This window comes from Homo sapiens, chromosome 12 (assembly GCF_000001405.40).
Source record: "Homo sapiens chromosome 12, GRCh38.p14 Primary Assembly".
NCBI classification, from domain to species: domain Eukaryota; kingdom Metazoa; phylum Chordata; class Mammalia; order Primates; family Hominidae; genus Homo; species Homo sapiens.
This window is the reverse complement of record NC_000012.12, coordinates 4298357-4313451: the sequence shown is the minus strand read 5'-3', so window position 1 is coordinate 4313451 and position 15095 is coordinate 4298357. Positions and strand designations below refer to the sequence as shown.

At 44.9% G+C, this 15095-nt stretch overlaps 1 protein-coding gene across 1 annotated transcript in view; it reads right to left on the bottom strand.

Moving 5' to 3' along the window:
• The window catches only part of CCND2 (cyclin D2), a 31592-nt gene continuing 24595 nt past the window's right edge, over nucleotides 8099–15095 (bottom strand). The window contains exon 5 of the mRNA NM_001759.4: nucleotides 8099–13592. Coding sequence (NP_001750.1) covers nucleotides 13443–13592 — 150 coding nt within the window. The 3' untranslated portion in view covers nucleotides 8099–13442. The remainder of the gene's footprint in view (nucleotides 13593–15095) is intronic.

Below are 15095 nucleotides of genomic sequence, written 5' to 3'. Positions count from 1 at the left end.
AGGCTGGTCTCAAACTCCTGACCTAAGGTGATCCTCCTGCCTGGGCCTCCCAAAATGCTGGGATTACAGATGTGAGCCACCGTATCCAGCCCTAGAAATCATGTTCTTACAGAATATTTAATGGTATGATAACATTCCCCTGATAGGAGATTACATGAAAAAAGAGTAGAAAGCCATTCGTTTATGAGCCTGATTTTTAAGAAAAAATACATACATATTTTTAAAAGACAAGAAAAAATGTGTAATTTATGTCAAGAGTTTCTCTAGTTGGTAGTTATCATGTTAAAAATGCTTGTTCTGCTCTATTACTAAAGAATTTATTTCCTGAGACACATGCATACAAATAAGCAAGGTGTCTTTCACAAAGAAAATTATCCAGAGGGTGGGTGATGGAGAACATATAAACTGTTCTATGTGGCTACTCACACATACTAAAGCAAGGCAACTTACTATTTTTACTATGTAATAGAATACAGCTGAGAATTTTTTTTTTAAAAAAAACCTTAGTTGAGGGGTAGTATGTTCCTGGTATTTGTTCTGTTTATTTTTAATTAGGTCACTTTATGATTCTAAGATAAAGCTCTTTAAGACTTACCAGAATAGAGGCAGGGTGCAGTGGCTCATGCCTGTAATCCCGGCACACTTTGGGAGGCCAAGGCGGGCAGATCACTTGAGGTCAGGAGTTTAAGACCAACCTGGCCAACATGGCGAACCCCTGTCTCTACTAAAAATACAAAATTAGCTGTGCATGATAGTCCCAGCTACTTCGGAGGCCGAGGCAGGAGAATTGTTTGAACCTGGAAGGTGGAGGTTACAGTGAGCCAAGATCGTGCCACTGCACTCCAGACTGGGTGACAGAGCAAGACTCTGTCTAAAAATATACGTATATTATTAAGACTTACTAGAATAGAGACAAGAGGATTTTAAGTTTCAGAATAAAAATGGACAGACAAAACTGACATCAGATAGTACAGACTGAGAGTGTTTGGGACCAACTGAGAACTGTGGTTTTTGTGATTACCCAAGTTATTTATAACACCACTACTTTGCTTTTTTCTTCTATTGCTTTGAAGTTGGAAATTGTAGTGGTTTATGCAGACTTAATAAAAGAGAAAGTCTTGGGCTTTTACTGGCAGGGATTTTCTTGCACCACCCACTGTCATAATTGATTACATGCTGTACCCTGATGGAAGAACAGAATTTCTAGGCCAACAGAAAATCACAAATACATGGTAAACCATCTGCTTTGTCCAGCGACTGAGAAATAATAATGTGACCAATGACCCAAGTGCGAAGGGACTCCCAGTCCCCATCAGCTTGATGTCTGAAGGTGGAGGGAGACTTGTTTTGGCAGCTGCTCTGCCAACATCTGACATCTGTCACCAATAGCTCCCCATTATTGCTGGTTCCAAAAAAATTATATCTGCCAGTCAAACAGCTTTCCTACTGATGGACAGTCGAAAGATGCCTTCTCAGCCTGCCGTGCTTCTGGGGAACTCCCCTTTATTTGAATACATGCATCCTCTAATCCCTTTTCATGCCTTGCCTGTTAGCCTGTTACTTAGTGGGGAAGAGAACGCTCCCCAAGCCCAAGTTCATTGCTGTCTGGAAGAAGGGCGGCAGCACCAAGGGGATATTATGAGAGTTGTAAATGCTTTTGTTTCACTGCTGTGCTCTTGATAGTAGTCTCATCAGGATCCACAGAAAACCCATATCCACCTCCACCCCTGACTTTTTGGGAAAATAACATTGCATCTACAATGCCTTCAAAAGCAATGAACACGGTCCTTGGTGTGTTTGCATATGTTCAGACTAGCTGATTCTTGTTAAAGCTTTCTATGTATTAGGCACTTTACATAGACTACCTCATTTAATCCTTCTAATAATCCAGAGAGATTTTATAAAAGAATAGCAGAGACTCAGAGCTTGTAAAGCTAAGTGGCAGCCCTGGGATTCAAAGTCAGATCATCTTATTACCTAAGCCTTTTTCCACCACAGCATCCTGACTCTGTCACAATGATTGTATGTAATACAGAAATGTATGATACAGTCCATAATATTCCAGGCAAGTAGCAAGCACTGGGGGGGACATTGGCTAGAAAGGCCAATCCTCTTGTTCTTGCCAGAGCCCTGACAGAATGCTAAGGAAAAGAGAAGACCGCTAGGCCCTAAAATCCTAGGTGTCCTGGCCCTAATACCTAGGCAGTGCCATATGGAAGCAAATCTTCCATAGTCCCTTCATGATGAGCTTACAGTGACATATGAAAAACATAAGTGAGTGACTGCTTTTAAAACCTGTGGTGCTTCAAGATTTTCTGAGGGTATTCACCAAGATGTCCAGAGGCTCACAGAGCTGAGCAATGAATGGAAGCCTGCAGAGGCCAGCAGTTGTCCTTCATTGTTCATTTGTACATTGCTGGGTGACCCTCAGTGTGGCATTCACCCTTGCAGGGCCTCAGGCCATTGCATCCATGGTAAAATAATATTTTTGGAAATATTAATCAGCATTTTTTCCTACAGTATTTTTCCTCTACGTTTTTGGGCCCTTCCTCCTGTGTCCCTTTTTTCGGGGCAAGGAAGGTGGCCACGAAAAACCAAGAAAAAGAATATCTCTTCCTATAGGATAACAAAAGGAATCTTTAAATAGCAAAGGCTTGGGAGGCTGATGATACAAGCAAGGCTTCCCTGCCTCTGGACTGAGATTCTCTGGGCTTGGTGGGGGAAGGAGGGAGCGTTGGGGGAGAAATAATAATAACACAGATATTCGTGGGTCCCTGAAGAATAGGGACAAACTAGATATGTGATTTTGTTTGTTTGTTTGTTTGTTTGTTTTTGTTTTTTTTTTTTAGATGGAATCTTGCTGTGTCACCCGGGCTGGAGGGCAGTGGCGCAATCTCGGCTGAATGCAACCTCCGCCTCCTGGGTTCGGGTGATTCTCCTGCTTCAGCCTCCCGAGTAGCTGGGACTACAGGCACATGCCACCACGCCCAGCTAATTTTTTGTATTTTTAGTAGAGATGGGGTTTCACCATGTTAGCCAGGATGGTCTTGTTCTCCTGACCTCATGATCCGCCCACCTCGGCCTCCCAGAGTGCTGGGATTACAGGTGTGAGCCACCGCGCCTGGCTGTGATTCTTGTTTTAATTGACATAGGTTTGGGGATTTGGGAGGAAAGCAGAACCCATGGCTCCTTCCCAGGAGTTTATGAGCAACGCATTTATAACCTGAATGGAATGAGCATGAAGAACAGCCAAGGGGCAAGGCAAAGACGCTGGAAAGAAAAGGCTACTTCCTTGGTGTACATTCACTGACAAACTCCTCCTTAGATGACAAGGCCCTTTACTTTCTTCATTGACTTTGTCTTCATTAAAAAACTATCCCCTGATGATTTCACTAAGTGATGTCATCATCCAACCCCCCCCACCCCCTGCAACCTTCCTGCCCACACTGGGCTAAAAGTCTCACTCTTTCAGCTCAATGCTCAGTAAGCAAAATATGGATCAATAAAGTAGCCCAGTGTAGCAGAAGATGCATGATATTTGAATTCAGACACATCTGGGATCCAGTCCTAGCCTAACTCTTTGTGATAAGCCAAGTGAGCCGTGTGACCCTCCATTCACTTAGCTACAAAACAAGGTACCAAATTCACCAGAGTTATAAAAGGATTATAGGAGAGGCTTGTGGAAAGCTCTTTCAAAACTACAAAACCCCATTTCACAGATGAAAAAACTAAGTCACTGAGTTTACTGTGAGTTGCTGGGTGGCTAAGTAATGAGCCCAAGGTTACAAAGCGAGTGGGTGGCCGGGGGGGCATTCCAGAGCAGAGCATAGAGCACTTGTATTCTGGGCCAACCACCAAGTAGCAGTTGTCTTTTTATCTGTCTCTGTCTTTAGCCTTTGAGATCAAGGAGAGCAGAGATCTCATCCCTGGAAAAGCAAGTACTGAGACACATTTGTTGAATGAGGGGTCCCATACGGAGCACCAGGCACGTACCCAGCCCTCATTTGTTGAATAAACGAGCAGTGCCCAGGAGCCCTGTGTGGGAAGGGGATGATGAAGAGTAGCGATTTTCAGTGAATGGGTTGACCGAAACATAGCCACAGAGATTTGCACTTTTTCAACAAATATAGAAATCTCACAGGTTTGTCTTCTCATGGAATCTCCATGGTGCCAGGAGCACTAAAAATGACTCTCCAGACAAACAAAAGCAGGAAAAGCTGTCTGGACACAGTGGCTCACACCTGTAACCCAGCACTTTGGGAGGCTGAGGTGGGAAGGATCTTTTGAGGCCCAAAGTTTGAGAGCAGCCAGGGCAACATAGTGAGACACTGTTTCTATAACACATTTTTTAAAACAATCTAGATGTAGTGGTGCATGCCTGTTGTCCCAGCTACTTGGGAGGCTGAGGTGGGAGGATCACTTGAGCCTGGGAAGTTGAGGCTGCAGTGAGTTGTGATCACGCCACTGCCCTCTAGCCTCAGAGACAAAGGAAGACCCTATCTCCAGAAACAAAAGAAAAGAAAACCAAAAAACAAAAAGCAGATCTTTACCACCCCACCTTATTTGGGCCTACCTGCAGACCTGGGCGTGGGGCTGAATGTTGGGATCTCAAAGGAATTTCAAAAATCTGGCCCAGCCCCGGGGTAATCTGATAACTAAAAACTCATAAAGACATAAAGAGATCTTAATGCTTACTGAGGCAGTACGGTCTTTCTTCGTCTGAGAAGGAGAGGTTATGGTCCACAAACTGAAAGAAGTATTCCAGGTCTGTTTGTGGTGGAGAGGGTTGGAGGAGGATGACTCCACTTGGGACTTACTGGGCCCTCCTTCCTGGCCAGGGAGGTAAAACAGACACAGGTTAGGCTGCAGAGCTGTAAGCCCTAAGCCGACTGGCAGGCGCCGTAAAAGAGAGCAGCGGGTTCAGTCGGTTGTGGGGTGGGCAGAGGGTAGAGAAAGGGGCCAGTCACACTCAGCTGCAGCCCTCGCGGCCTCGCGGGCCTGTGGTTGCCAGGACTTAAATCTCCCAAGAGTCGTTACAATCCTGACTTTTATGTGAAAGCTCTCATCTTGTATTGGCAAGTAAATCCAAGACAGTTTCAATCACTGTGGGAGTCAAGCTAATTATGTCTGCAGGCTGGATTTGGTCTGTAAGCTGCCAGTGTGCCATCTCTGGATTAGTCACTGAAGAGTCAGGGAAGGTGATGAACCAGCACCAGCCACCCCAGATGGAGTCACGATGTGGCGGTAGTGAGAGAAGCAGGTGAGGGAACTGCGCCAGGTGTGGACGGGAAAGGCCTGACGTTCCTTCCCCAGGCTGCCCTGGGGAGATGGCGGAGGCGGGGGTGCTGCTCCAGTGCTGTCTGCTGGAGGGAGGTGTTCCCTTCCGTGCAGGGCAGAGGCAACCTACACCCGGCTGGCTCTGGGTTTCCTTGTGAGTGATCCTGTCCGTGGCATTAGTACCACCTAGTGGACTTCGCAGGAAGAACTGCATGTTGAAACCATGCGGACAGTCATTTACCAGAGCGGCGGCGGTGAGCGCAGCAGAAGGGCCAGGGTCCTCCGAGCGAATCAGCATGAAAGAAACCATAATAATGAGTAAACTCAAAGCTTGAAGCATAAACTCAAAGCTTCAGGGGGACAATGAGACAGAGGCAGGGGCGCTGGTCTTGCTTTCTCAGGCCGCCCAGTTCTGTTTGACTGAGCCTGTGGTCCGAGCGGATGGAATCCGCCCCTCCAGCACGGGGAGGCCCCCAGAGCCCAAAGACAAGGAAAGCCACCAGTCATATTGAAGCGTCCAGCCTTCTTTCTTTAAGCCTCATGAGAAATTAGGTGGGTGGTAATCCCAAATCAATGTTTGTGGCTGTGCTTATCCTGTTTCACAAGCCTAACATCTGTGTTTATATTGTTTAAAATCTATTAAATTGTGTGGAATATTTTCCCTTCATTTAAAAAAAAATTACTTCCCATCCCTTTTATTTTTGGAAAAGGTCACACTCTGTTTCCGTTTCCAAACTATGCTGACCCACATGATCTTCCTAACAAAAGTGTTTTCCTAAAACTCACTTGCTTGAGGAAACCTGTTCCTCTGCAAGGGCCCCCTCCCACACCTTAGCATCGATTTCCCCCCAGACTCATTTGCATTTGCTGTTGTTTCTCTCTGCTATTTCATAGGCCTGTGTGTCCTGTTTTTTTCTGTGCTTTTCCTTAAAGGCTCAGTACAGGCCCCACATAACACATCGGCTGTGAGTACTAGGCTTACCTTGATACTCTGAATCTCCCTACTCTGTCCACAGCATTTTTGCTGTTGCTGTAATTGCCAGGAGAGCAGGGAAGTAATCTGGTGTAATATTCAGCTTTTGAGTACTTGCTTCGTGTCAGTATTTTGACAGTATTACTGCTAAGCCAACTGGGAAGGTGAATTTTGGGGATACCTCTGCATACTAAATAAAAGCTCCAAATCTTAGAAAGTCATTAGAGATACAAAAGCACTCCCTTGAACACGCACAAAAGATCGGGGATTTCCAGGTCTTCATTGCATTTTTAATGGCCACTTTCAGGAAAGGCACTTCCAAGTTTGAGATTTTCCAGTTATAAGATGATCTGGGTCTGAAAGAGCGTAGATGGGACAGTCAGATTTCTCACTGCTCGGCTGTGTGCTTCATCTGCTCTTCCCGCCCTTAAAACATCCATTGTTCAGAATGGGGGAAGCCCAGCAGTGTTGCTGGGTGGCATTTGAGAGAGGGAGTGGAGTTGTCATGCTATAAACAGATATAGCATTGATCCTACAGAGCAAAAAGATAGGGAAAGGGAGGGAGAGGAACCCAGTTGGACATTATGTCATGCCAAAGAGAATTCCAAGGATGGTTAAGAATGGCAACCAGAGGCCCTTGAAACTCCCAGGAGGCCAGCAGACTTCACTAGGCAGAAACCCAAGAAAAAAGTTACCCCCATTTGTCGCTAAGAATGGCGGATGTCAAGGGGAATGGGAACAAAGGGGAATTTCTAGGGTCCTTGTAAGCTTAAAAGTCCTATTAAGTGAAGTTACTTGAGATCAGCCTGGAATATCTTAATCTGGACTTCCCCAACGGCCAGTTTTAAATCTTGTTTACAACTCAGGTCAGAATTAAAATGGAAAACAGCCTTCGATGACTTCCAGACAAGGAACTTTGGAAAAAATTAATTTTACAGTAACATCAAAATGTCTGTTATAGCTTGTGCAACAAAGCTATACAAAAAATCTGTACAAAAAATAAAAAAATTAACTGGGCGTGGTGGTGGGCGCCTGTAATCCCAGCTACTTGGGAGGCTGAGGCAGGAGGATTGCTTGAGCCCAGGAGTGTGAGGCTGCAGCAAGCTGGGATTGTGCCACTGCACTCCAACCTGGGGGACACAGCAAGACCCTGTTTCTAAACAAAACACACAAAAAAGTGTTCATTAGGCCCTTGTCTTCTGCACACCCATCACTCTCGGGAAAGAAGCTGGTCTGAGCTAAGGTCCAAGAGCAGCTGGGCCTAGGGCCTGGCAATTCATTTCAGCAGTACGGAGACTGTCACATCCCATTCCCAGGCTCTGCTTCTCCAGACTCCAGCAAAGGTAGTTGTGGCCTGTGTCTCAGAAGAGGGGTGCAGGAAGGATCAGAAATCAGGTGGGAGCCACGAAGAACAGCAGGCAGGAGCCAGGAAAGCTGCAGGGGCAGGGTTCCCAGAGACTCCCTAGACTCTGGAGATGGCACCGCAGGCTTCTGGTACCTCTCATGCCAGGAGATGCTTCCTCACAGCCCAGAATGAGTAGCTGGCAACAATCAGGGACGATCCTCTGAGGACCAGTCATAGTGTCTGTGATGTACCCACCTTCTGAAGGTGGACTGAGGCTTCTAGCTTATAAGCTGGCTGCATAGGCACCCCTCGTCCCCTAGCAATGTCAACAATGACTTGTACCGCCATAACACAGAGGCACATGTAGATTCCATTCCAGGTTAGAATGTGTCTTTTATGCCACTGCCAAATGTTGCAGCGGCATGAAACAGTTCTGACATGAGACAAGTGTATTCCATTCTGAGGACTGCTGGTTTATAAATAAGTCAAAAACGGCCAGATAATTTAGGTCAAGGTGAGTTTATTGTCCAAATAGCATAACCTAATTGCATTCAAAACCATTTTCAAATCCATCTTTAAACTAGTCAGAAAACAGGTTATTATTTTTTTAAATCACTTAACACTGAACAGATAAGACCTCTTAAAAGGCAGCTGACTATATCATGTCACCATCATAGCCAATACAACATTTTTGCCATACTTCCTAAAAACCTTTTCGCATACACTGATCATGCTACTTATCAGCACTTTCTAACATCCTGACCAAACAGACACCCACACCTCTTATAGAGTACACTGTGAGAGAATAACATGGACTTGATATGGCATCACACTTGTTTTAAAGCAAAAAAAAAAAGAAAAAGAAAAGAAAAAAAAAAGTCCAAGACAAGAAACTACATAACTGAGAGAGAGGAGAGAGAGAGAGATCTGAGGTACATGATATAAGGGTGATGAACATAATGGAAAAAATCCAATGGCCCGATGATTTGCTGGGGATGTAAGAGTTGGCCAGCAGTTAAGAACTAAACCAATTAAAAATAAAAATAGAAACTTTGTTTTTCAAGGACAGGCACCTGTCAAAAGACATTGGATACTGTAATGGCTACAGTCAGTAAGGCACTTTATTTCCCCAAAGTAGGCTGCAGGCGAAGGGATGCAGGCTGCAGCTACAGCATGCACGTACACATTTGCTGATGGCTTCTCAAAACCTGAGCCGAGAATAGGGTCTGATAGCCCAGCCAAGTTTAAAAGCAGACACACACGAATGTAGTATCGTTGTGCCTGAAATGACCATTCTGGGTTGTTTAGAATCCAGAATCATCAAAAGCCATGTGGTATGAGGAAGTAATAAATATCCTCTTGAATCTTCTTACCCTATTTTGCACAAATGGATGGCTGCATGAACAGCTCTTGTAAATTGCTCTGAGTCCACACCAATAGAAACCTGCACTCATTCTATAGCTACAGAGGGTTTGTTGGCTTAAGGGGACTTTATCATCTCAGCATTAATTTCCCTTTTAAAGCTATTCTCAAGGTTGGACTGTCTCAGAGATAAACAAAGAGGAATCCTTTTGGCTTAGAAGCCAACTGGCTTACTCAGACTTCCTCCCCTTCCTACCTCCAATTCCCACACTACCAATATTATCTTCTTGAACTAGAAAATCAATTATTTACATGACATAAGGTGCAAGTCTATTTCTTCTCCCAGCCCTGTCCCCTGTGGCCCATGGAGAGAAAATTCCCCTGCCCTCTTGGAGAGAGTCATCTGATCCTGCCTTATGTTCTTAACCTTTCAGTCCCAGAGCTCCCAGGGCACAGTCTGGAGAGGCCCTAGAGGTGCTAGACTGCAGGGAAGCGCAGCTCCGTCTGAAGAGTTGCCAATCCTGCTAGCAATGGGATGCAGCGTGATGCTGTCAGGGTTGTCTTCTCCTCTGGCTTTGTCACTTAAGCCATGTGTGCCCCTGACCTGGCTGATAAGAGGCAGAACAGAGCCTCCAGTACAGAGCACATAGACCAAGGATGACCCAGTAGTAAGGCATGCTGTGCTCTCCAGTGGGGTCCTGAGGCAGTTCAAAATAAGGCCTCCTGGAAGAACAGCCCCTTCTTCAAGGAGCTCGCCTCTCAGCACGCATGGGGTGTTCTGCGGAGGGAACTGCCCTTGGCTTTCTCCTGCAGGCTTCTTGGCTGTTATGGACCCGCATGGAGTTTAATTATGCTTAGCATATATTTTTGGCATACTAGGATTTCTTCCCCCTAGGATTTGGCCAAAAGAGGGGAAGGATCAAAATTTGGCAGGCTGGGGGAACAACTCGGCCCCCACTGATGGAGAAAAAAACAAACAGATGGAAGTAAAGACGAGATAGAAACACAACAAGGTAGAAAAAGACCAGGATAATTTGGAACCCCTTTAGTGGGAGGTAAGAAAAAGAAGAGAAAGAACAACAACAACAAAAAGAGCAAGTTCAAATCCAAGGGGGAGAGCTCCTCTGGAACAAAACTCCTACCAAAGAGACTAAGAGCTAAGGAGAGGGCAAAATCCAGGATTCCTTCTTGTGTTTAAGCAGGAGCAGGCAGAAAAGCCTAACAACCCCCGACTTTCCCATCGGCAGCCCCACACCCATCATCACACAAGGCCCCAAGGATGGGAAAGAGAAAAGCTAGAAGGACCCAGGGGCCTCGGGACTACAGGAAGAGTGGAAAGTTACAGACTGTAAATAGAGTCGGGTAGGCTTGTGCCCTTCCTTATTTGTCCGGTTCTTTCATTTGCTGCTTCTGTTTAAGCTCAAGGGTCAGTCACCATGAAATGAATTTGCACCTCGGTTTCTCTTTAGGCTCCAAGATTCCCAAGAACTCCAGGGTTCCCGCTTTCCCCATTCCGTGGGACTCCTTGGGGCCCAGGAGAGTGTGCTGAGCAAAGCTGGCTCTTGAGAAAACTCTGGCTAGCTTACTTGCTGGCTGCTCCACTTCCCTCTCCAAAACTTCAGAATTCACCACCCATTGTCCCACCAGAAATCCCCTAGAATTTTAGGGTCATGCTAACTCACAAAGTCCTGAACCCTTCTAAACACACTTCCCAAGAGACTGACTCATCTGGAATTTCACCTCTGTAGAGAAGCAGCCTCTTCACCTCCCTTCAACTATCATCCCATACTTATCTGACCTATTTTTCTTATCCTGCCAATTCAGTGTGATTGAAAACCCGACCGTTTAGTACCGCTCAGCAGAGGGCCTGGGCTTGCATAGTGCTTGCCTGCGCAGTTTGAGACAGAGGAGGGAGAAGGAAGCACCATAAACGCTGCTTGCTGCAGGTTCATCTACTCGCAGATTCAGACCTAGGAAACCTGCAGAGATGATCCTAAACACAAGGTGTCCATGCCAGGGGAGGGGAAAGACGGAGGGGAAAAACTTCAAGATGAAAGGGCCCTTTGCAGATGAAGCCCCGCTTTTGAAAAAGCTCCAAGATGAGGATCTCCAAACAGCCTGGTGGAATTCTTTTTAGTCTGTTTCCTGACACCTGGTACCTAAGTGCAAATTACGACATCTGAGCCTACCGCATAAATGTTTGTACTGAACGTCTGCCTTGAAGGGGAGGGAGGATCCCTTGGTTCAATGTATTTTTTCCATCATGATGAGGATACCAGGGTCTAACTGGGAGCCCGATGGCCTCCATGACCAAAAAGGTCCCTGGGAGTGAGACCGCCCTGCCTTCCACCTGAGAGGGAGTCAGCCCTGCTCACACTGCTTCTGTATTCCTCATGCGAATGGGCTCCCAAGCAGAAACTGTACGGTTGTGAGGTATTATGAAAACAAAAGCGTGAATCATTGCCTTTTGTAGTTATTGATTTTGTCCAGTAAACCTGAGGTAAAGAATACTCCGTCTTTGAAGAATGTGATCAGAGGAAAAAAAAAAAACCAAAAAACCAAAAAAGAAAAAAAAAAACAACCATGAATATGCTACCAGAAGAAAACAAACTACGGAAGGGCTTTTCCAGTACGAAGAACTCATATCTCAACCATCTACTTCAGGACTTGGAATTTAAGCAGTAAAATAATATATTATAAAAATGTTTATAAAATAGCAGCACACTCTGTGAAACATTACAGCTAGGTACTGTCAACGTGAATAAGGATGGATGACTTTAGCTTCTTAGCAGCGCAAAAAAAAAAAAAAACCAAACTGAACAAAACAAAATTAAAAAAATGAGAGACCCTTAGATTGTTTTCCGTCTTCAACCCTCATACTATGAAACAAGGCAGAATCTGTGTATAAAATAATTCTTCAAATAGCCCTGTTCTGATTTTTCTTTTTTACTTAAAAAGGCAAATATTTTAACAAATAGCTTCATTACCTGTCAATTACAATTGTGCAAAAAAAAAAAAAAAAGTTGTTGCTCCAACCTCTTTGCTAACTGAATGCCTCTAAGAAGTGGAGAGGAAGAAAAATTCAAGTACGCTGAATACAACTTTGCAATAAAATTAACAACAACAATAAAAAAAAAAAAACGGAAAAGGGAACAAAATGCCACACCCTGATGTTCAGCCATCTATCTTTGCACCAGCAATAACTTTTCTTTCCATGTCCAAAGGAGAAGTATAGAGATGGGAATTAAGATCCTTCTGTGCCATCAGAATGGTAACAGATTTTAGTTTACAGGCTTGTCTGAGGAATGTTGTGATGGGAATGTCAGCAGGAAGGGGTGTCTCTTGAGTCCTGGTAGGAACACCAGAACTGTGTACCAAAGAACGCCAGATACCAGAAGCGAAGAGTAACCCAGACTGGGGGCAGGAAGGGAGGGGGCAAAAGAGAAGAGGGGAGGAGTATTCAGCATGACTTGCATAAACCATCCCATCTATCGCTCGGGAACAATTTTTCAAAGTGCTTTTCGAATGGAATGGTTTATAACAATGCTAAACTGTGAACCAGACATGCCAATCAGCACCAAAAATTAGTTTTTTTCTAAGAAGAAATGCCAAGGCCACATTACCCTTTTAAATACAATAACAGAAAAGACTCCATTCTGGATCCCACCCTTGGTCTCCATCTGCCTCCGTTTCATGTGAGTTTTGGTTATGGCCCATAGCTACATTTCCCCATTAGATAGCAATATGGTGGTGTCTGCAATGAACTGCATTTGGAAGAAGAAGCAGGATGTCACAGAACATGAAACCCAGGAGCCAATCACCTGTGTCCAACTGGCAAAATAAAACATCTTTTTTTAGGTAGCAGCTACTGTAGACAGCAAGAGGACATTAATGTAGAGATCCAACTACACTCCTGACTTAGTAACAGGTGGCTGAGAGCAAAGGTGCTTCTCCATCCCAAATGGTTCAATCATGTTGAGAGATTGTTTTGTACTCCTTCCCCATCATGTCCCTCCTTATTTCAATTCCTTCTTGAGTTCATTGCTTTGCAATCTAATCATGCCATAAATGGCGTACACAGTTCCTTGAAATTATACTACAAGGGGGTGTATGTGCTAGCTCATAACATGAAAAAAAAAAGTCTCCTCTAATTTGTTCCCATATTGCAGGCATACATATTCTCTAACTACTCTGCAGGTTTTCCTGTAAGCATTTTACTATTACTTTTACATAATCAAACAATAACTGTTCGCATATACAAGGGATTCCCTTATGCTGTACTTCAAATAGGCACCAAATGCTTTTTATTATTCCGTTTTCGTAGGACCTTTTTCTCTCACTTCTAAAAGATCTTTAAATATGATCTAGGTGGGGGCAGAATTTTTTTTTTAAGTTTCACCCTAAAACACAAAGAACAAAAACAACCAGAAAGAAGAAGAGACCAGATTATGGACGCGTCTCTCTCTTTCGGCCCAACTGGCATCCTCACAGGTCGATATCCCGCACGTCTGTAGGGGTGCTGGCTTGGTCCAGTTCATCCTCCGACTTGGATCCGTCACGTTGGTCCTGACGGTACTGCTGCAGGCTATTGAGGAGCACCGCCTCAATCTGCTCCTGGCAAGCTTTGAGACAATCCTAGAACAATGGTCCAGACCAGAGTTGTTAGTAAGAGGAACAGGACATAGAGCATCCTACGGAGAAAACATGCGTAATTTAGCTTGCATAAGTCTGTGCTAGTTTCCAGTAGAAATAAATGTGAAGTAAAGGAGGGATGTTCTTAAAGTGCCAAGGAACCTCACTACTCCAGGTGGGGTCCATGGGCTGGCAGCATCAGCATCACCTGCGAGCTTGTTGGAACCGCAGAATCTCAGTCAACCCAGGCCGAGCTATTCAGAACCTGCCTTTTAGTGGAGCCCAGGTGATTGGCATTCTGAGAAGCACTGGCCTAAATGATGGTCACTTATGGATGCCTGGTAATCAAGGGGCCGACCAGATGCTTTCTGCCTGGGGAAGCTGGGAAGTGGCAGAGAAAAGGGGAAGGCTACTAGAAGTGCTATGACATTAGCAAACTCAGCCCGAGAACTAGATAAGAAGGAAGCCAATGAACCAACGTACTGACCCTCACATAAACTGTAAATACTTTTTCTCACTCTGTCCCCCAGGCTGGAGTGCACTGGCACAATCTCGGCTCACTGCAACCTCCACCTTCCGGGTTCAAGCGATTCTCCTGCCTCAGCCTCCCAAGTAGCTGGGACTACAGGCACCCGCCACCGCGCCTGGCTAATTTTTGTATTTTTAGTACAGACAGGGTTTCACCATATTGGCCAGGCTGGCCTCGAACTCCTGACCTTGTGATCCGCCCGCATCGGCCTCCCAAAGTGCTGGGATTACAGGCATGAGCCACCGCGCCTCACTGTAAATACTTAAAAAAAAAAATCCCCAACTTTTTCTGCTTCTTTACCATTTCCTTAACTCTCATAAAGATATAATGCAGAATGTCTACAACATTCTGGAACCTTGAGCCATCCAATTTGGGAATAAGCAAGAATATGCAGCCTTGCTTTAGTATCAGTCTATATTGTAGGGGTAATTGACAGTGTGTCTGCCCCAGGCAGGAGCTTCTCTTAGGCAGATGACATGCAATGCAATGACAAGTCATGGGTATCACTAGACAGGGACCGTTGCTGGTGCTAGTAAGAGGGTGCAAACCGTAGACTTGCTTCTAACGGGCATTTTCTAGCCTCTCTCCTCTGCAAAGGTGCCTTTGTGCACTCTCTTAAGAAGCACATACATAAGGCAAATATGTTAAATTGAACCTCCCTGTGTCTTTTCATAGTTTAATATAAACTTCCCTTTTGTTTCTTTTACTGTGCAATTCTCCCCACCCAGAGGTTTCTATTTTGCCAAGCCCAAAAGCATTCTCTTTATTTCCCAAAGATCTAAAACACAGCTGGCCAGGCATATTGGCTCATGCCTGTAATCCCAGCACTCTGGGAGGCTGAGGCGGGAAGCTGAAACCAGGAGTTCGATACCAGCCTGGACAACACAGCAAGCTCCCGATCTTTAAAAACAAACATATAAATAAACAAAATAAAGCTGGAACTAACCACTAAGGAACAAAATTTCCATACCCCTAAA